This window comes from Homo sapiens, chromosome 9, assembly GCF_000001405.40.
Source record: "Homo sapiens chromosome 9, GRCh38.p14 Primary Assembly".
NCBI lineage: Eukaryota > Metazoa > Chordata > Mammalia > Primates > Hominidae > Homo > Homo sapiens.
This window is the reverse complement of record NC_000009.12, coordinates 131,346,482-131,370,397: the sequence shown is the minus strand read 5'-3', so window position 1 is coordinate 131,370,397 and position 23,916 is coordinate 131,346,482. Positions and strand designations below refer to the sequence as shown.

Genomic DNA, 23,916 nt, shown 5'->3' with positions numbered 1-23,916 from the left:
CTCGGCCTCCCAAAGTGTTAGGATTACAGGCATGAGCCACTGTGCCCGGCCTTATTGCCCCACTTAAGAAATGAGGAAACTGGCCAGGTGCAGTGGCTCACACCTGTAATCCCAGCACTTTGGGAAGCTGAGGTGGGCGGATCACAAGGTCAGGAGATCGAGACCATCCTGGCTAACACGGTAAAACCCCGTCTCTACTAAAAATACAAAAAATTAGCTGGGCGTGGTGGCACGTGCCTGTAATCCCTGTGACTTGGGAGGCTGAGGCAGGAGAATCTATTGAACCTGGGAAGTGGAGGTTGCAGTGAGCCAAGATCATCACACCATTGCACTCCAGCCTGAGTGACAGAGCGAGACTCCATCTCAAAATAATAATAATAATAATAATAAATGAGGAAACTGAGGACTAGAGAAGTAATTTTCCCAGCGAGTAACTGACTGAGCCAGGATGTGAACCCCTATGCAGCTTATCACAGACCTTCTGCTTTCTGTTGTGCTGCAGCACCTCACCAAGGTGACACACAGGAACTTGGCCAGGCAAAGAATGATGGCACATTTACACCATGGTGAGTTTTTGTAAAATTTATTAAGAGATTTTTGAAATGGATCCATTGGCCAGGTGCAGTGGCTCATGCCTGTAATCCCAGCACTTTGGGAGGCTGAGGCGGGAGGATCACCTGAGGTCAGGAGTTCGAGACCAGCCTGGCCAACATGGTGAAACCCCATCTTGACTAAAAATACAAAAATTAGCTGGACGTGGTGGCGGGCACTTGTAATCCCAGCTACTCAGGAGGCTGAGGCTGGAGAATTGCTTGAACCCGGGAGGAAGAGCTTGTAGTGAGTGGAGATCGTGCCATTGTATTCCAGCCTGGGCAAAAAGAGCGGAACTCCGTCTAAAAAAAAAAAAAAACAAACTATCTTTGTCCTGTTAAATAGAGGATCTTGGACATAGTTAAACTTTTCTTTTTTTTTGAGACAGAGTCTCGCTCTTTCACCTAGGCCGGAGTGCAGTGGCACTATCTTGGCTCACTGCAAGCTCCGCTCCTGGGTTCACGCCATTCTCCTGCCTCAGTCTCTGAGTAGCTGGGACTACTGGCGCCTGCCACCGCACCCGGCTAATTTTTTGTATTTTTAGTAGAGATGGGGTTTCACCATGTTAGCCAGGATGGTCTCAATCTCCTGACCTCATGATCCGCCCGCCTGGGCCTCCCAAAGTGCTGGGATTACAGGCGTGAGCCACCACGCCTGGCCCAACCTTTTCTTAATAGCTTAGCACTATTGTTAGTATTTATAACCTGTCTTAGCATGTCTGGACCGCTATAACAAAATGTCATAAAATGAGTGGCTTACAAACAACAGAAATGTATTTCTCACAGTTCTGGAGGCTGGGAAGTTCCACGAGCAAGGTGCTGGTAGATTCATTGTCTGGTGAGGGCCTGCTTCCTGGCTCAGAGACAGCTGTCCTTTGGCTGTGTCCTTACATGGTATCCACCTCTCGTGACTTAATCATCTCCCAAAAGCCCCATTGCTCTCTTTATTTATTTATTTATTCATTTTTGAGACGGAGTCTCGCTCTGTCACCGGGCTGGAGTGCAATGGCATGATATCAGCTCACTGCAACCTCTGCCTCCCGCTTCATGCAATTCTCCTGCCTCAGCCTCCCAAGTAGCTGGGATTACAGGTGCATGCCACTACACCCGGATAATTTTTGTATTTTTAGGAGACACGGGGTTTCACCATGTTGGCCAGGATGGTCTCAATCTCTTGACCTCATGATCTGCCCACCTCAGCCTCCCAAAGTGTTGGGATTACAGGTGTGAGCCACCTTGCCCGACAATTCTTTTTTTTTAAATTCTTAGTAGAGACAGGGTCTCGTTATGTTGCCCAGGCTGTTCTTGAACTCCTGAGCTCAAGTTATCCTCCTGCCTCAGCCTCCGAAAGTGCTGGGATTACAGACCTGAGTCATCTGGCCCAGCCCAGCCCCATCTCTTTATACCATCACCTTGGGGGGCTAGGATTTCTTTTTTTTTTTTTTTATTCTTTTTTTTTGAGACGGAGTCTCGCTCGCCCAGGCTTGAGTGCAATGGTGCGATCTTAACTCACTGCAACCTCCGTCTCCTGGGTTCAAGCAATTCTCCTGCTTCAGCCTCCCGAGTAGCTGGGATTACAGGCATCCGCCACTGTGCTGCTCGGCTAGTTTTTGTATTTTTAGTAGAGACAGGTTTTCACCATGTTGGCCAGGCTGGTCTTGAACTCCTGACCTCAGGTGATCCGCCCACCTCGGCCTCCCAAAGTGCTGGGATTACAGGTGTGAGCCACCACGCCCGGCAGGGGCTAGGATTTCAACATATGAATTTGGGGCAGCAGGGGTGGAAACAGTCTGTGTAACATTGTCATCCTGTGCTTTAGGAAAATTCTGTTTTGTTCTTTGGATTGCTGTTACTTTATTATCAGGCTCCCAGCCAAAACTCCCTGTGGCCATGGTCTGTCTCAAACAGTACCTTTCTCCAACCAGCTCTCTCCACCCTCACCCCCAAAATGTGGCTGATCAAATCCTTTGGGCTAAAAATCAAAATATGAATTGTTTTTTTGTAAGTATTATAATTTAGCATGAGGTCTTTGTGATAATAATTTCTTGCCCCAGAGATCTTTTTTCCCATTTATTTCCAGTTAAGAATATGATTTGAAAGTCTGTGTTGCTGAGAGATTAACAAGCAGATAAGCAGGTTCCGGGTGTACTTCCCTAACTACCTGGTAGTATTCTTCACAGCACAAGCTGGTGATTCCTTTAAAAAAAATTTTTTTTTTTTTTTTTGAGTCAGTGTCTCACTCTGTCACCTAGGCTGGAGTGCAGTGGCAGGATCATAGCTCACTGCAGCCTTGAACTCCTGGCTCAAGCAATCCTTTCTCCTTACCCTCCCAAGCAGCTGGGACCATAGGCGTATGCTACCATGGCCAGCTAATTTGTTTTTATGTTTTGTAGAGATGGGGTCTCACTGTATTGCCCAAGCTGGTCTTGAACTCCTGGGCTCAAATAATCCTTCCACTTCAAGCTCCCAAAGTGCTGGGTAAAAGTGTGAGCCACTGCTCCCTGTTGTTGACCATAGATTCTTGGGCTCTCAATGCAATAGAAATCGTCATGAAGCCTGGAGTTTTCCCAGGAAAGACTTAGTTGGAGCTTATGCCTGGACATATGAAGGTAGCACGGGAGGCAGAAAGAGACAGAGAGGAGAATTCCCTGACTGCCTCTCTAAAAAGAGTCAGTAGGGCTTTTTTATTAGGCAAAGTGTGGGAATTAACGTCAGGGGTAGGGTGGTGTGCAGACTGGACTGGGCAAAACACTGAGGGGTAGGGTATGCAGGTTAGCATGGCCGGTTGCTATGGTTGTCTTGACTAAGGGGCCACCTGGTGGTCTGGCTGGTAGCAAGGCTATAAATCAGTTGCTCAGCATTCCTTCCCAGGGTGGAACACGCCACAACCTTGGTTTCATATTTGGATTTCCTAAAGCCAGTTCTTGGCATTCCTTAAGTAAAAGGCGTGGTTAAACATTATGGCATCAATGAGGCAGTGGAGTGGGGTTTGTGATCACTGGGAATGCATGGAAGAATGCTCCAGTGGGAGTGAGCTGAAGCCAAGCCCTGTTCCCACTCTTTCTCATCTCAGCCCTGAAACCTTTGCAAAATTATGACAGTGAAAGACATCTAGACCAGGCGCGGTGGCTCACGCCTGTAATCCCAGCACTTTGGGAGGCCAAGATGGGCAGATCACCTGAGGTTGAGACTAGCCTGGCCAACATGGTGAAACCCCATCTCAACTAAAAATACAAAAATTAGTCAAGTGTGGTGGTGTACACCTGTAATCTCAGCTACTCTGGAGGCTGAGGCATGAGAATTGCTTGAACCCAGGAGGCGGAGGTTGCAGTGAGCTGAGATTGCATCACTGCACTCCAGTCTGAGTGACAGAGCGAGAATCTGTCTCAAAAAAAAAAAAAAAAAAAAAAAAAAAAAAACCAGAAAGCTGACATAGTTGACTCCATCTTGCTTCTAACCCCCAAGCTCTCCTTGGTCATTCCTGGGCTTAGGCCAGGCTAACTTTGGGGAGAATCTAGTTTATAGTTTAACCTTAAAGCAAGGATGATAGTAGTACTTTCCCAAACTAAACTGCCTTTGTAAAACTAATGCCTGGTCAGGCGCGGTGGCTCACCCTTCTAATCCCAGCACTTTGGGAGGCTGAGATGGGCGGATCACCTGAGGTTGGGAGTTCGAGACCAGCGTGACTAACATGGAGAAACCCCTGCCTCTACTAAAAATACAAAAATTAGTTGGGCATGGTGGCACATGCCTGTAATCCCAGCTACTCGGGAGGCTGAGGCAGGAGAATCGCTTGAACCTAGGAGGTGGAGGTTGTGGTGAGCCGAGATTGTGCCATTGCACTCCAGCCTGGGCTACAAGCATTGCACTGCAGCCTGGGCTACAAGAGTGAAACTCCATCTCAAAAAACAAAACAAAACAAAACAAAAAAACTAATGCCCACTGGTCCTGTGGCCCAACTCACAGGAAGACTCAGTGCTCAAGGAGCATTTTGCACACCCCCATGATCACATTCCCGACCAATTACCAGCACCTGTTCCCTAGCCCCTGCCTGCCAAACTATCCTTGAAAAAGCCTAGCCTCAACATTTTGGGGGAGACTGATTCAAGTAGTAACTCTGCTCTGGACAAACCATACCTTTCTCCAACCATCTCAAAAATAAAATACAAAAAAATTGACTAGGGGTGTTGTTGCCTGCCTATAGTCCCAGCTACTTGGGAGGCTGAGACAGGAGAATTGCTTGAACCCAGGAGGTGGAGGTTTCAGTGAGCCGAGATTGTGCCACTGCACTCCAGCCTGGGGAACAGAGCAAGACTCCATCTCAAAAAACAAAAAAACAAAAACAAAACGCCAGACAGGCTGGGTGCCATGGCTCTCTCCTGTAATCCCAGCACTTAAGGAGGCCAAGGCAAGAGGATTGCTTGAGCCTAGGAGTTTGAGATCTGCCTGGGCAACAGAGCAAAACTTTGTCTCTAGAAAAAATTTAAAATATTTATTTATGTAATATAAACTTTTTTTTTTAAACCAGACAAAAGGGACAGTCGTGGTGCCCATAATCCCAGTGCTTTGGGAGGCTGTGATGGAAAGATTGCCTGAGACAAGCCTGAGTAATATAATGAGACCTCATCTCTCCAAAAAAAAAAAAAAAAAAAAAAAAAAAAATGGCCTGGCACGGTGGCTCGCCAGTAATCCTAGCACTTTGGGAGGCCAAGGAGGGTGGATCACCTGAGGTCAGGAGTTCGAGACCAGCCTGACCAACATGGAGAAACCCTGTCTCTAATAAAAATACCAAATTAGCCGGGCATGGTGGCTCATGCCTCTAATCCCAGCTACTAGGGAGGGTGAGGCAGGAGAATCGCTTGAACCTGGGAGGTGGAGGTTGTGATGAGCTGAGATTGTGCCATTGCACTCTAGCCTGGGCAACAAGAGCGAAACTCCGTCTCAAAAAAAAAAAAAAAAAAAAAAAAAAAATTGGCTGCGGCACACGCCTGTAGTTCAAGCTGCTACTTAGGGAGCTGAGGAAGGAAGATCACTTGAGCCCAGTTCAAGGTTACAGTGAGCTATAATTGTGCCACTGCACTCCAGTCTGGGCAACAAAGAGACCCTGTCTCGAAAAAGAAAAGTCAGATAAAGAATACACATGGTGGCCGGGCGCGGTGGCTCACGTCTGTAATCCCAGCACTTTGGGAGGCTGAGGCAGGCGGATCACGAGGTCAGATCGAGACCATCCTGGCTAACACGGTGAAACCCCGTCTCTACTAAAAATACAAAAAAATTAGCCGGGCATGGTGACGGGCGCCTGTAGTCCCGGCTGCTGGGGAGGCTAAGGCAGGAGAATGGCGTGAACCCGGGAGACTGAGCTTGCAGTGAGCTGAGATCGCGCCACTGCACTCCAGCCTGGGTAACAGAGCAAGACTCCGTCTCAAAAAAAAAAAAAAAAAAAAAGAATACACATTGCATGATTTGATTTATAGAAAATGCTAGAAAATACAAACCAAAGGTGACAGATCAGTGATTTTCTAGGGTTGGGGGTTGGGGGTAGGAGGAGTAAAAGATAGATTACAAAAGAGCAGGAAGAGGCCGGGCATGGTGGCTCACTCCTGTAATCCCAACACTTTGGGAGGCGGAGGCGGGTGGATCACCTGAGGTCAGAAGTTTGAGACCAGCCTGGCCAACATGGTGAAACCCCATCTCTACTAAAAATACGAAAATTAGCTGGGTGTGGTGGCAGGCACCTGTAATCTCAGCTACTAGGGAGGCTGAGGCAGGAGAATCGCTTGAACCAGGGAGGCAGAGGTTGCAGTGAGAGCCGAGATCTCGCCACTGCACTGCAGTCTGGGCAACAGGGCGAGACTCTGCTTCAAAAAAAAAAAAAAAAAAAAGAAGCAGGAAGAACCCAATGAGGGTGAAGGAAATATCATCTTGGTTGTGGTAATCATTTCACATGTGTAGACATAGGTCACAACACAAAAACACATCAGATTTTACACTTCATATATGTGCAGTTTATTGCACATTAATTATACCTCAGTAAAGCTGTAGAAGAATAATAAAGCCATCTTGAAAAAAGAAGTGAATGAATGAGGATAGTATTAGGCCAGGAGCCATGGCTGGTGCCTATAATCTCAGCACCTTGGAAGGTCAAGGGAGGAGGATCACTTGAACCCAAGAGTTCGAAACCAGCCTTGGCAACAAGATGAAACCCCATCTCTACAAAAAAACAAGTACAAAAATTAGCCAGGCATGGTGACACATGCCTATAGTCCCAGCTACTTCGGAGGCTGAAGAGGGAGCATCACCTGAGCCGGGGATGTGTTGGTTGCAGTAAGCCGAGATCTTGCCACTGCACTCAGCCTGGTTGACAGAATGAGACAAGAAAAAAAAATGTCAAACTGACCCTTTTTCAAGGCCCAGGACTTCAATTAATCCAGAAGATTATTTGAAATGTGGATTTACACCCATTTATTTGAATGAAGAACCTCACTCTGGGCATAGATGGGCCTTGAGATACTGGGTTACATAATATGACTCCATCCCAAGAACCGGAGCATGTGAAAATCAAATGTCCAGGTGAACCTCTACAATTTCTCCAGTGATTTTTAAAGTTGTGTCATACTTAATCCAGTGCTTCCCCCAGAGTTTCTTCAAACTTAATGATAAATGATTCAAAGCCTTTTTTGAGACAGGGTCAGCTTTTTTTGAGACAGGGTCAGCCACCCAAGTAACTGAAACTTACCAGCGTGTGCCACCAAGCCTGGCTAATTTTTTTGTATTTTTTGTAAAGATGGGGTTTTGCCATGTTGCCCAGGTTGGTCTCAAACTCCTGAGCTCCAGTAATTCTCCCGCCTCGGCCTCCAAAAGTGCTGGGATTACAGGTGTGAGCCACTGCGCCTGGCTTCTTTTTTGAGGTTTCTTAATAGCAAAAGCAGAAACTTGCATACCGTTGGGAATCATTTGTTCTTCCTGTCAGATAAAAATTTCTGGCCGGATGCGGTGGCTCAAGCCTGTAATCCCAGCACTTTAGGAGGCCGAGGCGGGCGGATCACGAGGTCAGGAAATCAAGACCATCCTGGGTAACACGGTGAAACCCCGTCTCTACCAAAAATACAAAAAATTAGCCAGGCGTGGTGGCGGGCGCCTGTAGTCCCAGCTACTCGGGAGGTTGAGGCAGGAGAATGGCATGAATCTGGGAGGCAGAGCTTGCAGTGAGCTGAGATCGCGCCACTGCACTCCAGCCTGGGCGACAGAGTGAGACTCCGTCTCAAAAAAAAAAAAAAAAATTCTGCAGTAAAAACTGTAACAGAAATAAAAATAAAATCTGGCAAGGAACTAAAATATATTTCTTCATCAATCACATGTATCATTGGAAAGCCAGCAGAAAGCAAGGCTGAATTTGAACAAAGTATTCAGGGTCAGACGGATGTTATGAATGTTTTTAGCCTGTCTCTGCTTATGGCAGAAAGACCATACTTCTTATTTATTTATTTATTTATTTGAGACGAGTCTCGCTGTCACCCAGGCTAGAGTGCAGTGGTGCAATCTCGGCTCACTGCAACCTCCGCCTCCCGGGTTAAAGCTATTCTCCTGCCTCATCCTCCCAAGTAGCTGGGATTACAGATGCCCACCACCACACCCGGCTAATTTTTTTATTTTTAGTAGAGACGAGGTTTCGCCGTGTTGGCCAGGCTGGTCTTGAACTCCTGACCTAAAGTGATCCACCCACCTCGGCATCCCAAAGTGCTGGGATTACAGGCGTGGGCCACCGTGCCCAGCCCAATTTTTGTATTTTTTGTAGAGATGGGGCTTTGCCATGTCGCCCAGGCTGGTCTCAAACTCTTGGGCTCAAGCAATTCTCCCACCTCAGCCTCCCAAGGTGCTGGGATTACAGGCATGAGCCACCATGCCTGGCCTAGTTTTTAAATTTATTTTTCTTTTCAATTTTTTAGGGACGGGGTCTTGTTACAGTAGGTAGCTAGTCAGGCATGAGCACAGCAGGAGAGGGCCCCCCCAACCAGGAATGTCCGCCACCATCATGTAATGGTTAAGCGGTTGTTAACTGTCTCTCTAACATAATAATTGTTCAAAAAATAATGTGGGTGCCAGACACTGTGACTCAGCACCAGGCAGCAGAGAAAGCAGTCTCCTAATAAACAGGAACACCTGAAACTGGGGATCAGCAGCTTCCTGATAAGATCTCAGGAGCTGGACAAGTAGGCTCGAGCATGTGCATTAAGAGGCAAAATGGTAGGGCTTAACTGGTATATGAACTTCTAGGGGCATTTGACTGTTAAGGGAAGAATGCCTCAAGTGAACACGTGCACAGCTCCAGGAAACACACTGTGCATGCTCACCTCCCAAGTGCTGGCAGCCACTGCGCATGCGGACAGCCCACCCCAAGGGAAGAATGAGGGGAGAAGGGACACAAGACCCCGGAAGCATGCCAACATATAAAACCCCAAGTCAAAAGGCCAAACTGCTTACTTGATCTCTCAAGTCACCCGCTTGGCCCTTTTCCAAGTGTACTTTACTTCCTTTCATTCCTGCTCTAAAGCTTTTTTTTTTTTGAGATGGAGTTTTGCTCTTGTCACCAGGCTGGAGTGCAATGGCGCTGTCTCGGCTCACTGCAGCCTCTGCCTCCCAGGTTCAAGCGATTCTCATGCCTCAGCCTCCGAAGTAGCTGGGATTACAGACGCCCGCTACCACACCTGGCTAATTTCTGTATTTTTAGTAGAGATGGGGTTTCACCATGTTAGCCAGGCTGGTCCCAAACTCTTGATCTCATGTGATCCACCCTCCTTGGCATCCCAAAGTGCTAGGATTACAGGCGTGAGCCACCGCGCCTGGCCAGGATGCTCTTCTTACTTTTCTTTTCGTTTTTTTTTTTTTTTTGAGACAGAGTTTCACTTTTGTTGCCCAGGCTGGAGTGCAATGGCACGATCTTGGCTCACCACAAACTCTGCCTCACGGGTTCAAGGGATTCTCCTGCCTCAGCCTCCCGAGTAGCTGGGATTACAGGCATGCACTACCACACCCGGCTAATTTTGTATTTTTAGTAGAGACAGGGTTTTGCCATGTTGGTCAGGCTGGTCTTGAACTCCTGACCTCAGGTGATCCACCCGCCTCAGCCTCCCAAAGTGCTGAGATTACAGGTGTGAGACACCGTGCCTGGCCGCTCTTCTTTCTTTTCTCTCTTTTTTTTTTTTTTTTTTTGGGACGGAGCCTTGCTCTGTCGCTGCAGTTGGAGTGCAGTGGTGCAATCTTGGCTCACTGCAACCTCTGCCTCCTGGGTTCAAGCGATTCTCCTGCTTCAGCCTCCCGAGTAGCTGAGATTACAGGCACCCGCCACTGCGCCCAGCTAATTTTTGTATTTTTAGTAGAGACAAGGTTTCACTATCTTGGCCAGGCTGGTCTTGAACTCCTGACCTCGTGATCTACCCGCCTTGGCCTCCCAAAGTGCTGGGATTACAGGCATGAGCCACCACGCCCAGCCTCTTCTTTCTTTTATAAAGCATTCTTTCCAGCTGTCACAGACATAGGGCCAAACGAATAGCTCTTGGGAAGTATTAAATCAAGGTGTATATGTGGGTTTTCTTTTTGTTTTTGAGATGGAGTTTCACTCTTGTTGCCCAGGCTGGAGTGCCATGATGCAATCTCGGCTCACCACAACCTCCGCCTCTGGATTCAAGCGATTCTCCTGCCTCAGCTTCTCAAGCAGCTGGGATTGCAGGGGCAGGCCACCATGCCTAGCTAATTTTTTTTTTTTTTTTTTTTTTTTTGAGACGGAGTTTCACTCTTGTTGCCTAGGGTGGAGTGCAATGGCATGATCTTGGCTCTCCGCAACCTCCACCTCCCGGGTTCAAGCAATTTTTCTGCCTTACCCTCCGGAGTAGCTGGGATTACAGGCATGAGCCACCACACCTCGCTAATTTTGTATTTTTAGTAGAGACGGGGTATCTCCATGTTGGTCAGGCTGGTCTTGAACTCCCGACCTCAGGTGATCCGCCCGCCTCGGCCTCCCAAAGTGCTGGGATTACAGGTGTGAGCCACTGCACCCTGCCATAATTTTTGTATTTTTAGTAGAGATGGGGTTTCACCATGTTGGCCAGGCTGGTCTGGAACTCCTGACCTCAGGTGATCCACCCACCTCAGCCTCCCAAAGTGCTGCTATTACAGGCGTGAGCCACTGTGCCTGGCCCATTTTGTTTTTTGAAACAGGGTCTCACTCTGTTGCCCAGGCTGGAGTGCAGTGGTGTGATCATGGCTCACTGCAGCCTCGACCTCCCAGTTTCAAGTGATCCTCCCACCTCAGCCTCTCAAGTAGCTTAGACTATAGGTATGCGCCACCATGCCTGGCTAACTTTATTTATTTTTTATTTTTTTTTGAGACGGAGTCTCGGCTCTGTCGCCCAGGCTGGAGTGCAGTGGCACGATCTTGGCTCACTGCAAGCTCTGCCTCCCGGGTTCACGCCATTCTCCTGCCTCAGCCTCCCGAGTAGGTGGGACTACAGGTGCCTACCACCATGCCCGGCTAATTTTTGTATTTTTAGTAGAGATGAAGTTTCACTATATTGGCCAGGATGATCTCCATCTCGTCACCTCGTGATCCACCCGCCTCGGCCTCCCAAAGTGCTGGGATTACAGGCATGAGCCACTGCGCCTGGCAATTTTTTAATGTTTTGTAGAGACGGAGTCTCCCTGTGTTGCCGAGGGTGGTCTCCAACCCCTGGGCTCAAGCAATCCTCCCGCTGATATAGGAGTTAAAAAGAAATTATTTAGGCAGTTAGTGAGAGTACAGAAAGTAAGGTTTTTATTTTAATAATAAAGCAGCCCCCAACTAATTTCTTTTCTAACAAAAAGCGGCCTGAAAAATCAAGCTGCAAGCATAGGTAAGCAAGCTGGAAACTTGCACAGGCGAAGTCGGCAGCCGTGCCGATAGAGAAGGGATACCTGGGAGCCAGGTAGAGTCAACATGGAGTCTTTCTCTTCCCTTTTCTTTGTTGCCACGTGTGCAGGTGTCATGGCACCGGCCAGGTAGAGACTCCATCTGCATGATAAATGATTAGGGTGGGACGGTCAGCCTCTTCAAGCTCCAGGTAAATGACACACTTTGTCCAATGAATCCTCTGGGCCCTATGTAAATCAGACACCACCTCTTCAAGCCCCTCTGTAAAACCAACCACATCCTGCCATGAACGGAACCCCCTCCCTCTGCACGGGGGAGCTTTTCTCTTTCTTCTTTCACCTATTAAACTTTCTGCTCTCTTTTTTTTTCTTTCTTGAGACAGAGTCTCTGTTGCCCAGGCTGGAGTGCAATGGCACGATCTCGGCTCACTGCAACCTCCGCCTCCCGGGTTCAAGCTATTCTCCTGCCTTAGCCTCCCAAGTAGCTGGGATTACAGGCGCACGCCACCATGCCTGGCTAATTTTTTGTATTTTTACTAGAAACGGGGTTTCGCCATGTTAGCCAGGCTGGTCTCGAACTCCTGACCTCAGGTGATCCTCCTGTCTTGGCCTCCCAAAGTGCTGGGATTACTGGCGTGAGCCACCGCGCCCGGCCCCAACTTTCTGACTCCTCGTGCGTCTGCGTCTTCATTTTCCTTAGGTCAAGACAACGATCCTTGGGTATTTCCCCAAACGATGCCACTTCACTGCCTCTGACTGCCAAAGTGGTAGGATTACAGACACACGAGTCACCCATGCCAGCTTATGTACATTTGTAACATAACATTGTTACTTGTGTGTACAACCTCCTCATCTTCTGTGGGGGAAGGGAGGGAGGATTAGTTTTAGGGAGAGACTATTATCATCATCCTTGCTTCAAAGTTAAACTATAAACTAAATTTCTCCCATAATAAGTTTGGCCTACATGCAGAGACAGGCAAAAGCAGTTAACCTAAAAGATATCATCACCATAGCCAGTAGGGTGTCGGGGGAGGGGAGGGAAGTTACGAGCAAAATGGAGAAGGGAGTTAGTCATGCCAGGGCACCTTCTCACTGCTACACGTGTGGACATAAGCAACCACCTGGTGGGGCTGCACCAAAGCCCACGTGGCGGCTAACTGGCTGGCTTTCCCCGTTTCCACCCGTGCCTTTGGCGTAGACACACAAACTGTAATCTCCGGCCCCAAACCTGTAGGGGTGGGTTGCCCCTACACACCTGTGGGTGTTTCTCGTAAGGTGGGACGAGAGATTTGGAAAAGAAAAAGACACAGACAAAGTATAGAGAAAGAAATAAGGGGACCCGGGGAACCAGCGTTCAGCATATGGAGGATCCCGCCAGCCTCTGAGTTCCCTTAGTATTTACTGATCATCTGTGGGTGTTTCTCGAAGAGGGGGATGTGTCAGGGTCACAAGACAATTGTGGGGAGAGGGTCAGCAGACAAACGCGTGAACAAAGGTCTTTGCATCATAGACAATGTAAAGGATTAAGTGCTGTGCTTTTAGATATGCATACACATAAACATCTCAATGCTTTACAAAGCAGTATTGCTGCCCGCAGGTCCCACCTCCAGCCCTAAGGCGGTTTTTCCCTATCTCAGTAGATGGAGCATACAATCGGGTTTTATACCGAGACATTCCATTGCCCAGGGACAGGCAGGAGACAGATGCCTTCCTCTTGTCTCAACTGCAAGAGGCATTCCTTCCTCTTTTACTAATCCTCCTCAGCACAGACCCTTTACGGGTGTCGGGCTGGGGGACGGTCAGGTCTTTCCCTTCCCACGAGGCCATATTTCAGACTATCACATGGGGAGAAACCTTGGACAATACCTGGCTTTCCTAGGCAGAGGTCCCTGCGGCCTTCCGCAGTTTTTGTGTCCCTGGGTACTTGAGATTAGGGAGTGGTGATGACTCTTAAGGAGCATGCTGCCTTCAAGCATCTGTTTAACAAAGCACATCTTGCACCGCCCTTAATCCATTCAACTCTGAGTTGACACAGCACATGTTTCAGAGAGCACGGGGTTGGGGGTAAGGTCACAGAATCTCAAGGCAGAAGAATTTTTCTTAGTACATAACAAAATGGAGTCTCCTATGTCTACTTCTTTCTACACAGACACAGTAACAATCTGATCTCTCTTGCTTTTCCCCACAAACCAAGAATCAGGACGACTCAGCAGAAAAAGTCCATCATGCGGTTAAAAGTTCAGCCTCTGCAGAAACAACCCAAGGATGCCTGCTCTGGTCACTTCTATCAGCAGTGCACTGGACGTTCTCGCCAGAACAATTAGGCAAGAAAGGGAAGTAAAAGGCATCCACATTGGGAAGGAAGTAAAACTGTCTCTATTTGCGGATGACATGAGCTCTTCTTTTTTTTTTTTTTTTTTTTTTTTGAGATGGAGTTTCTCTCTTATTGCCCAGGCTGGAGTGCAATGGTGTGACTTTTGCTCACTGCAACTTCCACCTCCCAGGTTCAAGTCATTCTCCTGCCTCAGCCTCCCAAGTAGCTGGAACTACAGGCATGTGCCACCACACCCAGCTAATTTTGTATTTTTAGTAGAGATGAGGTTTCACTATGTTGGTCAGGCTGGTCTCAAACTCCTGACTTCAGGTGATCCACCCACCTCGGCCTCCCAAAGTGCCGGGATTACAGGTGTGAGCCACCACACTTGGCCTTTTTTTTTGAGATGGAGTCATCCAGGCTGGAGTGCAGTGGCGCGATCTTCGCTCACTGCAGCCTCTGCCTCCCAAGTTCAAGCAATTCTCCTGCCTCAGCCTCCCGAGTAGCTGGGATTACAGGCGCCCACCACCACGCCCAGCTAATTTTTGTATTTTTAGTAGAGATGGGGTTTCACCATGTTGGCCAGGTTGATCTTGAACTCCTGACCTCGTGATCCACCTGTCTCAGCCTCCCAAAGTTCTGGGATAACAGGCATGAGCCACCACCCCCAGCCTGGTTTTGTTTGTTTGTTTTTGAGACGGAGTGCAATGGCACGATCTTGGCTCGCTGCAACCTCCGCCTCCCAGGTTCAAGTGATTCTCCTGCCTCAGCCTCCCAGGTAGCTGGGACTACAGGTAATTTCTGTATTTTTAGTAGAGATGGGGTGTCACCATGTTGGCCAGGCTATTCTCGAATGCCTGGCCTCAAGTGATCTATCCACCTCAGCCTCCCAAAGTGTTAGGATTATAGGTGTGAGCCACCGCACCTGACCAACTTTCTTCTTACTAACTCTCCATTATGTCGATTTTGAACATATTAAAAAGTAGAGTCAACCTGGCCAGGCACAGTGGCTCATGCCTATAAGCCCAGCACTTTGAGAGGCTGAGGCGGGCAGATCGCTAAATCTATCCTAAATTCATATGGAATCCATCCTAAATTCATATGCAATTTAAAGGAACCTAGAAGAGCCAAAAATGATCTTGAAAAAGAATAATAAAGGTGGATGATTTAGACTTCCAGATTTCAAAACGTACTACAAAGCTACAGTAATCAAAGCAGGTGATAGTGACATAAGGCTAGACACATAGACAATGGAATAAAAATGAGAACCCAGAAATAAGCCCATACCTCTATGGTCAAGTGCTTTTCAACAAAGTTGCCAAGACCATTTAATGGGAGAAAGAAGCCTCTTCAATAAGTGGTGTTAGGTAAACAGGGTATCCACATGCGGAAGAATGAAGTTGGATCCTTGTCTTACACCACATACAGAAATTTACTCAAAATGGATTGAACACCAAAACTTAAGAGGCAAAAAACTATAAAATTTTTAGAAGAAAATACATGGGAGCCTGGGTGACGTGGCTCATGCCTATAATTCCAGCACTTTGGGAGGCCTAGGTGAGTGGATCACTTGAGGTCAGGAGTTCGAGATCAGCCTGACCAACATGGTGAAACCCCGTCTCTACTAAAAATACAAAATTACCCAGGCATGGTGGTGTGCGGCTGTAATCCCAGTTACTCAGAAGGCTGAGGCAGGAGAATCACTTGAACCGGGGAGGCGGAGGTTGCAGTGAGCTGAGATCCGGCCACTGCAATCCAGCCCGGGTGACAGAGTGAGACTCCGTCTCAAAAAAAAAAAACAAACTATATATCTATATCTATGTCTATATCTATATCTGGGAAAATTTGCATGAGGTTGGCTTTGGTTTTTTTGTTTTTGTTTTTTTTTTTGACAGAATCTTGCTCTGTTGCTCAGGCTAGAGAGCAGTGGCGCTATCTCGGCTCACTACAAGCTCTGCCTCTCGGGTTCACGCCATTCTCCTGCCTCAGCCTCCCAAGTAGCTGGGACTACAGGCGCCCGCCACCGCGCCCTGCTAATTTTTTGTATTTTTTTTTAGTAGAGGCCAGGAGTTTGAGACCAGCCTGGTGGGGTTTCACCATGTTAGCCAGGATGGTCTTGATCTCCTGACCTCGTGATCCGCCCGCCTTGGCCTCCCAAAGTGCTGGGATTACAGGCGTGAGCCACTGTGCCCGGCCATTTGGCGTTGGTTTTTTAAACAACACCAAAAGCACAGGCAACAAAAGAAAAAATGGATAAATCATACTTCATTAAAATTAAAGACTTCTATGCATCAAAGGACACTATGAAGGATGAAAAAATCCACAGAAGAAAACATTTGCAAATCACATATTGATGAGGGTTTAATTTCCAGATTATATAAATAACCCCTATAATTCAATTTTTTTTTTCTTGAGACGGAGTCTCACTCTGTCGCCAGGCTGGAGTGCAGTGGCACGATCTCGGCTCACTGCAACCTCCGCCTCCAGGGTTGAAGCGATTCCCCTGCTTCAGTCTCCTGAGTGGCTGGGACTACAGGCGTGTACCACCACGCCCGGCTAATTTTTTGTATTTTAATAGAGACAAGGTTTCACCATGTTGGCCAGGATGGTCTTGATCTCCAGACCTCATGATCCGCCCGCCTCATTCTCCCAAAGTGTTGGGATTACAAGCGTGAGCCGTTGCGCCCGGCCTTTTTTTTTTTTTTTTTTTTTTTAAGACGGAGTCTTGCTCTGTCACCCAGGCTGGAGTGCAGTGGCGCAATCTTGGCTCACTGCAACCTCCGCCTCCCGGGTTCGAGTGATTCTCCTGCTTTAACCTCCTGAGTGGCTGGGATTACAGGTGCATGCCACCACACCCGGCTAATTTTTATATTTTTAGTGGAGACAGAGTTTCACCATGTTGGCCAGGCTGGTCTCAAACTCCTGGCCTCAAGTGATCTGCCTGCCTTGGTCTCCCAAAGTGCAGGGATTACAGGTGACAATTCAATTTTAAAATGAGCAAAGAGGGCTGAAACAGGAGGATCACTTGAGCCCGGGAGGTTGAGGCTGCAATGAGCAGAGATCGGGCCACTGCACTCCAGCCTGGGTGACAGAATGAGACCTTGTCCCAAACAAAGCAAAACCACTATGAAATACAACTTCATACCCACTAATTTTTATTAGAGCCGGCTCTAATTAAAAAAATGGGAAGTAACAAGTGTTGGCAAGAATGTGGAGAAATGGCTGGTGGGAACGAAAATGGTGTCTCTACTTTGGAAATCGGTTTGGCTATTCCTCAGAAAGTTCAACACAGAGTTACCATATGACACGGCAATTCCATTCCTAGGTCTATGCCCACAGGATTGAAAGCAGGGACTCAAACAGGAACTCGTACGCCAACATTCATAGCGAGGTTATTCACAACAGCCAAAAGGTGGGAACAATTGAAACATCCCTCAGCAGAGGAATGGACAAGCACGATGTGGTACAGTCCCACACCACAATGTTTTGGTTAATGATGGGCCGCACGTATGACTGTCGTCCCATGCGATTATAATGGAGCTGAAAAATTCCTATCGCCCAGTCTATCGTAGCTGTCACAATGTCTACGACAATGTGTTACTCATGTGTTTGTGGTGATGCTGGTGTAAAAGAACAGCAGGAGCATATGATTATGTATTGAACCTAGTATTTTTTATTATTTCTTTTTGAGACAGAGTGTGGCTCTATTGCCCAGGCTGGAGTGCAGCGGTGTAATCTCAGCTCACTGCAACCTCCGCCTCCTGGGTTCAAGCAATTCTCTTGCCTCAGCCTCCCGAGTAGCTGGGATTACAGGCATACAACACCATGCCCAGCTAATTTTTGTACTTTTTTAGTAGAGATGGGATTTCTCCATGTTGGCCAGGCTGGTCTTGTACTCCTGACCTCAGGTGATCCACCCACCTCAGCTTCCCAAAGTGCTGGGATTACAGGCGAGAGCCACCACACCCAGCCTTGTTTTTTTTTTTTGAGACAGAGTCTTGCTGTGTCACCCAGGAGTGCAGTGGTGCCATCTCAGCTCACCGCAACCTCCGCCTCCTACTCTCAGGCGATCCTCCCACCTCAGCCTCCCAAGTAGCTGGGACTACAGGTGCAAGCCCCCACACCTGGCTAACTTTTTGTATTTTTTGGTAGAGACGGGGTCTTGCCATGTTGCCCAGGCTGGTGTTGAACTCCTGGGCTCAAGTGATCTGCCCACCTTAGCCTCCCAAAGGGCTGGGATTACAGGCATGAGCCACCAAGCCCACTGGCATTATTATCACATATCTCAGCTTCATGCATGTTATTGCCCCTGAAAACCTTCTAGGTGGTCAAGATGTGGAGGTGGACAACAGTGATACTGATGATTCTATCCCTGTGTAGGCCTAGGCTCATGTGTGTGCTAATGTCTTTGTTTTGTTTTGTTTAAATAAGAGACAGGGCCTCACTGTGTTGCCCAGACTGGGTTCAGGTCATCCCCTTGCCTCAGCCTCCCGTAGGTGGGACTGCAGGCATATCTTACCTCACCTGGCTTGTGTCTCAGTTTTTAACAAAAAACTTTTAAAAGTAAAAAAATAGGCCAGGTATGGTGGCTCACACCTGTAATCCCAGCACTTTGGGAGGTTGAGGTGGTTGGATCACAAGGTCAGGAGATTGAGACCATCCTGGCCAACATGGTGAAACCCCGTCTCTAATAAAAATACAAAAATTAGGCGGGTGTGATGGCGCGTGCCTGTAATTCCAACTACTCAGGAGGCTGAGGCAGGAGAATCACTTGGACCTGGGAGTTGGAGGTTGCAGTGAGCCAAGATCACGCCACTGCACTCCAGCCTGGTGACAGAGCGAGACTCCGTCTCAAAATAAATAAATAAATAAAAATAAAAAATAAAAGTAAAAAAATAAAAAATAAGAAATTTTAAAAATAGAAAAAAGATTATAGAATAAGGATATAAAGAAAATATTTTTGTACAGCTATGCAATATATTTGCATTATAAACTAAGCATTATTGTAAGAGTGAAAAAGTTCAAAAAAGTTTATAAAGTAAAAATTTTAAAAGTTACATTAAGGGTTAATTTATTATTGAAGAAAGACTTTTTTTTTTTTAAGTTTTTAAAATTTTTCACATACAGACAGGGTCTTATTATGTTGCCCAGGCTGGTCTCAAAGGAATCCTCTAATCTTAGCCTTCCAAAGTCCTGGGATTACAAGCATGAGCCACCATGCCCGGCCAAGAAAGAATTTTTTTTTTTTTTTTGAGGCAGGATCTTGCTCTGTGGACCAGGCTGGAGTGCAGTTGCACGATCATGGCTCACTGCAGCCTCCAACTCCTGGGGTCAAGCAGTTTTCCAAACTCCTCCTGGGCCTCCTAAAGTGCTGGGATTACAGGCCTGAGCCACCATGCCCGGCCAGCCACTGTTCATTATCAGCGGCAGTACACAGCTCTTCTCTCCCAAGGCTGGGGTATCTAAGAACAGGCTTCCCTCATAGCTAAGCTTCAGGGCCACCCCAGCGCCAGAATAACCACATTCTGCAGGGGAGAAATCAGGACGTCCCCAGCCACAGTGGTGCCAGCCTCTGACCACACTCTTTCAGGCTGGGGGTGAAGCAGTCGATAAGGACCAGCCCTGTCCCTGGCCTGAGTCATAGTTTGTTTCCCGGGCCTTTCCATGAAAGGCTCCACCGTGGCCGGGCGCAGTGGCTCACGCCCGTAATCCCAGCACTTTGGGAGGCCGAGGCGGGCGGATCACGAGGTCAGGAAATCGAGACCATCCTGGCTAATAGGGTGAAACCCCGTCTCTACTAAAAATGCAAAAAAAAAAAAAATTAGCCGGGCGTGGGCGTGGTAGTGGGCGCCTGTAGTCCCAGCTACTCGGGAGGCTGAGGCGGGAGAAAGGCGTGAACCCGGGAGGAGGAGCTTGCAGTGAGCCGAGATCGCGCCACTGCACTCCAGCCTGGGCGACAGAGCGAGACTCCGTCACAAACAAACAAACAAACAAACAACAAGCAAACAAAAAACAAGAAAGGCTCCACCGTGACCTAAGCTTTCTCCATGCTCTGGGCTCAGGGATGGGGTGATGCTGTCTCAATCAGGCCTCCAAGGCTGCTCTTGGGGTGGCTCCGGGCCTCATGGCTACACAGAGGGGAAGAGGGGTTGAGCCGCAGAGAGATTAGAAGCTGGGAAATGGAGCCCACAAGGAAAGACTGAGTCCACGGACTGGGGAGCGCCGGGTAGAATTGGAACATCTCCCCCAGGGCGGAAGGAGAGCAGGAACAGCCCCAGCGGAACAGCCGTAGCCGGGCCATCGTCCTCAGACTTGCATCTCCCTGCAAGCGCCCGGGCCTTCCTGCCTGTCAGCCTTGCACTCGCAGCTCCCTCTGCCGGCCACACTCTTCCTCCCTCCTTTCTGGTCAAGTCCCGCTCAGGTCTGGGGGCTCTGCTTCACTGTCACTCCCCCAGGGAAGCCCTCCTTGGCGACCGCCGCTCCACACGCCCTCATAACGCCATGGGCTTCTCCTTCCGAGCCCCACTACCATGGCTATGACCTGGCGAAGTGGCCATTTATATGTTTCAACATGAGTCTCCTCGGCTAGACCGTGAGCTTGTTGGGGGAGGGAAGAGGTCTGTCCTGTCCATGGCTGATTTCCAGCTGGGTGCTCAGCGCGCAGTTCCTGTTTGCTGAGTGCAGGAAGGACCTCAGCCCTTTCCCCAGGGACCCGGGAACCCATGAGCTGAGGTCCTGGTTTGGGGCCATTGCCACTTGTCCCCTTTCCATCCCGTCCATTCTGGGGAGGGGCTGCCTGTGCCATCAGGGGATTTTGCATCTTTTCCTGGGGAGGGAAAGGTGCCACCCCTAGCAGCCTGGCACCCCCAGGCTGGAAGAGCAGAAAGCCTCAGACTCCAGGAGGAGCAGGTGGCGCCAGAAAGGCCACACATCCTCAGGGATGTAGACCTTCACTCAGCCCTCGAGCCTGGGCTTGGGCTCAGGGCTCAGGCTTCCTACCTGAATGCAGCACACCCCGCCCATGGGGTTGTCTCACCCAGAAAGTAAACCTGAGTCTGATGAAGCCTCTAGAGCTGCACTGTCCCATCCAGAAGCTGCTAGCTAATTAATTCTAATTAATAACAACTAAAATTGAGGACTCACTTCCTCTATCACACTAGTCACTTTTTTGTTGTGTGTATGTGAGACAGGGTCTTGCTCTGTTGCCCAGGCTGGAGTGCAGTGGTGCAATTTTGGCTCACTGCAGCCTCAAACTCCCAGGCCTCAAGTGATCCTCCCACCTCAGCCTCCTAAGTAGCTGGGGCTACAGGTGTGCACCACCACGCCTGGGTTATTTTTAAATTTTTTGTAGAGATGGGGGTGGCGGGGTCTCCCTATGTTGCCCAGGCTGGCCTCCATCTCCTGGGCTCAAACACTCCTCCCTTCTCGGCCTCCAAAAGCTCTGGGATTACAGACATGAACCAGTGTGCCCAGCCCCCTCCCATTTTCCAGGGAGCCTGCTGCCGCCCAGCCTCCCTGGAGCTTGCTGTGCTGTTCAGGAGCAGGTGAAGAGGCCAAGAGGGTTGGGGGATGAGGGAGGCAGAGGGGCAGGTGTGAGGGGTTTGGGAGGGTTGAGAGAGGGGAAGGGAGAGCAAGGGCTGTGGGGGAGAGGACACCGAGTATGGCTGTTTGGCCCGCAGCGCCCCCCACCCCACCCCTCTGTAAGTCTCCAGAAAACGCACCTTTTCTTTCCACAGCCCTGGGAGTTGATGTGTCTGGAAGGCTCCATCTGAGGTTGGCCAGAAGGTGGCGGCCACAGGGTCTGGCTTTGTTCCACTTTCAGAAATCTGGGGCCTTCACACCACCCCAAGGTCCTGGAGGGTTGGCTGCCTGGGTTCCTTTTGACGTTCCTAGCCTCACAGGCAGAGCCAGCCCAGATGGGAGTTCAGCAAATATTTGTTGAGTGAATTGATAAGATCCACCTGGGCCCAGTGTAGGGGGCTCCAGACAGCCTGGAAAGGTCACGGGCAGACAGTGAGGGTGGGAGGGGAATGGCAGAGGCTGGACGTTCTAGAGCCTGGACTCCACTCTTCCCTTTGCTTCTGGAACAGGCATGTCTGGGTTTCTTTCTTTCTTTTTTTTTTTTTGAGATGGAGTCTCACCCTGTTGCCCAGGCTGGAGTGCAATGGCGCGATCTCGGCTCACTGCAACCTCCACCTCCCAGGTTCAATCAATTCTCCCGCCTCAGCCTCCCAAGTAGCTGGGACTACAGGTGCACACCACCATGCCCGGCTAAATTTTTGTATTTTTTTTTGAGACGGAGTCATGCTCTGTCGCCCAGGCTGGAGTGCAGTGGCATGATCTCTGCACCACTGCAAGCTCCGCCTCCCGGGTTCACGCCATTCTCCCACCTCAGCCTCCCGAGTAGCTGGGACTATAGGCATCCACCACCACACCCAGCTAATTTTATTTTTGTATTTTTAGTAGAGACGGGGTTTCACCATGTTAGCCAGGATGATCTCGATCTCCTGACCTCATGATCCGCCTGCCTTGGCCTCCCAAAGTGCTGGGATTACAGGCGTGAGCCACCGCACACGGCCTAGCATGTCTGGGTTTCTTGTCCTCTCCTCTGAGATGAGCAGCAGAACCCATCTTTCCACATCACTGAAGACTCCCTGCCGCTGCCCCCATGGTTTGAGTCTGGCCTTTAGCCAGACATGGCTTTTGTTTCCTCCCTTTGCCTTGGCGCCCAGGAAGCTCTGCCTCCGGTCTGCCACGCCTCCCCCCACGCCCACTCTCAAGGCAGAGGCACATAGAGGGAGCGTCTTTAGTGGACACGCTGCCTCCTTCACTCACCTTCAAATGGAGCGCGTTGAGCCCTGTGTGTACCAGGCACCATGCTGGGCACAGTGAACGCACTTCATGTGCTCAGGCAGAACCCGCACAGACAATGCCGTGAAAGAGAAGGAAGCATCCCACACACAAGTTCCCATGACAGGGACTCCAGAGGGGCCATCACCGGGAAGGGGTGTCTCAGCAGAAGCCTGGAGAATATGCTGAGTCAGCCAGGCTTGGAGGAGCCTTGTCTTGGCAGCCAGGGCGCTGCCAGGAGCCTCCCGTTTCCTGGAAAGCTGGAGACCAGAATGTCCACGGACCTCGTCCCTCTGTGGCACTAAGGCCATCTGAATGTCTCAATGGAAAGGCATCCTAGGTCCGAGGTGACACAGTGGCCAGGGGACTTCCAAGCTGTGGCCCCAATGTGCTGTGAGGGTGACCACCTACATCTGCATTTATTTCCAACAGGTACCTCATAGCCTATGGAATGTTCTAGAAACGAGGCTGGCATATGTGTGAAGTTAGCTCAGCAGAGACAACCAGCAGGTGAGTTCATCCATCCATCCATCCACTCTTTTTTTGTTTTGAGACAGAGTCTTGCTCTGTCACCCAGGCTGGAGTGCAATGGCATAATCTCGGCTCACTGCAAATTCTGCCTCCTGGGTTCAAGTGATTCTCCTGCCTCAGCCTCCTGAGTAGCTGGGATTACAGGCGTGCACCACCACACCTGGTTAATTTTTGTATTTTCATTAGAGATGGGGTTTCACCATGTTCATCAGGCTGCTCTCGAACTCCGGACCTCAAGTGATCCGCCTGCCTTGGCCTCCCGAAGTGCTGGGATTACAGATGCGAGCTACCGTGCCCAGTTCCATCCATCCATTTTATAAATATTTACTGAATGCCAGCTATGTCCCAGGTACTGTTCTGGGCACTGGGGACACAGCAGAGAAGAAATGGACAGCAACCACTGCCTGTACCACGCTGACATTCTGGAAGGGGAAACAGTAAACAGAGACTTAAATAGAGACACCATATTGGGCAATGTTGGGAATGTGATGGGCGCAGTGGTCAGGGTAGTAGCAGGTGCTCAGGCCTCCCGGAGGGGTGACATTTGAGCTGAGACTTGAGTCAAGACAGGTTTGAGCATTGTACAAATATGGGGGAAGAATAAATATAAAAACCCTTAGATTGGTTGGGATTTTGCTTTTTATTTTTTATTTTTTTGAGACAGAGTTTCACTCTTGTTGCCCAGGCTGGAGTGCAATGGTGCGATCTTGGCTCACTGTAACCTCCTTC

The 23,916-nt window shown here is 49.1% G+C and overlaps 2 long non-coding RNA genes across 2 annotated transcripts in view, besides 4 other annotated features; one reads left to right on the top strand and one right to left on the bottom strand.

Annotated features, from left to right (window-relative positions):
- Window positions 10,613-11,229: an enhancer, noted in NCBI's record as "H3K27ac-H3K4me1 hESC enhancer chr9:134234556-134235172 (GRCh37/hg19 assembly coordinates)". NCBI's record gives its function as "activates a minimal SCP1, AML or CMV promoter by ChIP-STARR-seq in naive H9 embryonic stem cells {active_cell/tissue: H9 hESC(naive)}" and the evidence as "EXISTENCE:reporter gene assay evidence [ECO:0000049][PMID:30033119]".
- LOC105376299 (uncharacterized) overlaps window positions 11,375-23,916 on the bottom strand; it is a 34,154-nt gene continuing 21,612 nt past the window's right edge. Inside the window, exons 2-4 of the long non-coding RNA XR_001746959.3 lie at window positions 22,642-23,609; window positions 21,528-21,797; window positions 11,375-11,634 (exon numbers count right to left, since the gene is read on the bottom strand). This is a non-coding gene — a long non-coding RNA (uncharacterized LOC105376299). The remainder of the gene's footprint in view (window positions 11,635-21,527; window positions 21,798-22,641; window positions 23,610-23,916) is intronic.
- Window positions 13,695-14,310: an enhancer, noted in NCBI's record as "H3K27ac-H3K4me1 hESC enhancer chr9:134231475-134232090 (GRCh37/hg19 assembly coordinates)". NCBI's record gives its function as "activates a minimal SCP1, AML or CMV promoter by ChIP-STARR-seq in primed H9 embryonic stem cells {active_cell/tissue: H9 hESC(primed)}" and the evidence as "EXISTENCE:reporter gene assay evidence [ECO:0000049][PMID:30033119]".
- Window positions 14,311-14,928: an enhancer, noted in NCBI's record as "H3K27ac-H3K4me1 hESC enhancer chr9:134230857-134231474 (GRCh37/hg19 assembly coordinates)". NCBI's record gives its function as "activates a minimal SCP1, AML or CMV promoter by ChIP-STARR-seq in naive H9 embryonic stem cells {active_cell/tissue: H9 hESC(naive)}" and the evidence as "EXISTENCE:reporter gene assay evidence [ECO:0000049][PMID:30033119]".
- Window positions 17,797-18,298: an enhancer, noted in NCBI's record as "H3K4me1 hESC enhancer chr9:134227487-134227988 (GRCh37/hg19 assembly coordinates)". NCBI's record gives its function as "activates a minimal SCP1, AML or CMV promoter by ChIP-STARR-seq in primed H9 embryonic stem cells {active_cell/tissue: H9 hESC(primed)}" and the evidence as "EXISTENCE:reporter gene assay evidence [ECO:0000049][PMID:30033119]".
- On the top strand, window positions 19,967-23,412 carry LOC105376300 (uncharacterized). Its single transcript, XR_930401.3, has 4 exons — window positions 19,967-20,227; window positions 21,246-21,350; window positions 23,089-23,166; window positions 23,374-23,412. It is a non-coding gene; the product is annotated as an uncharacterized LOC105376300 (long non-coding RNA).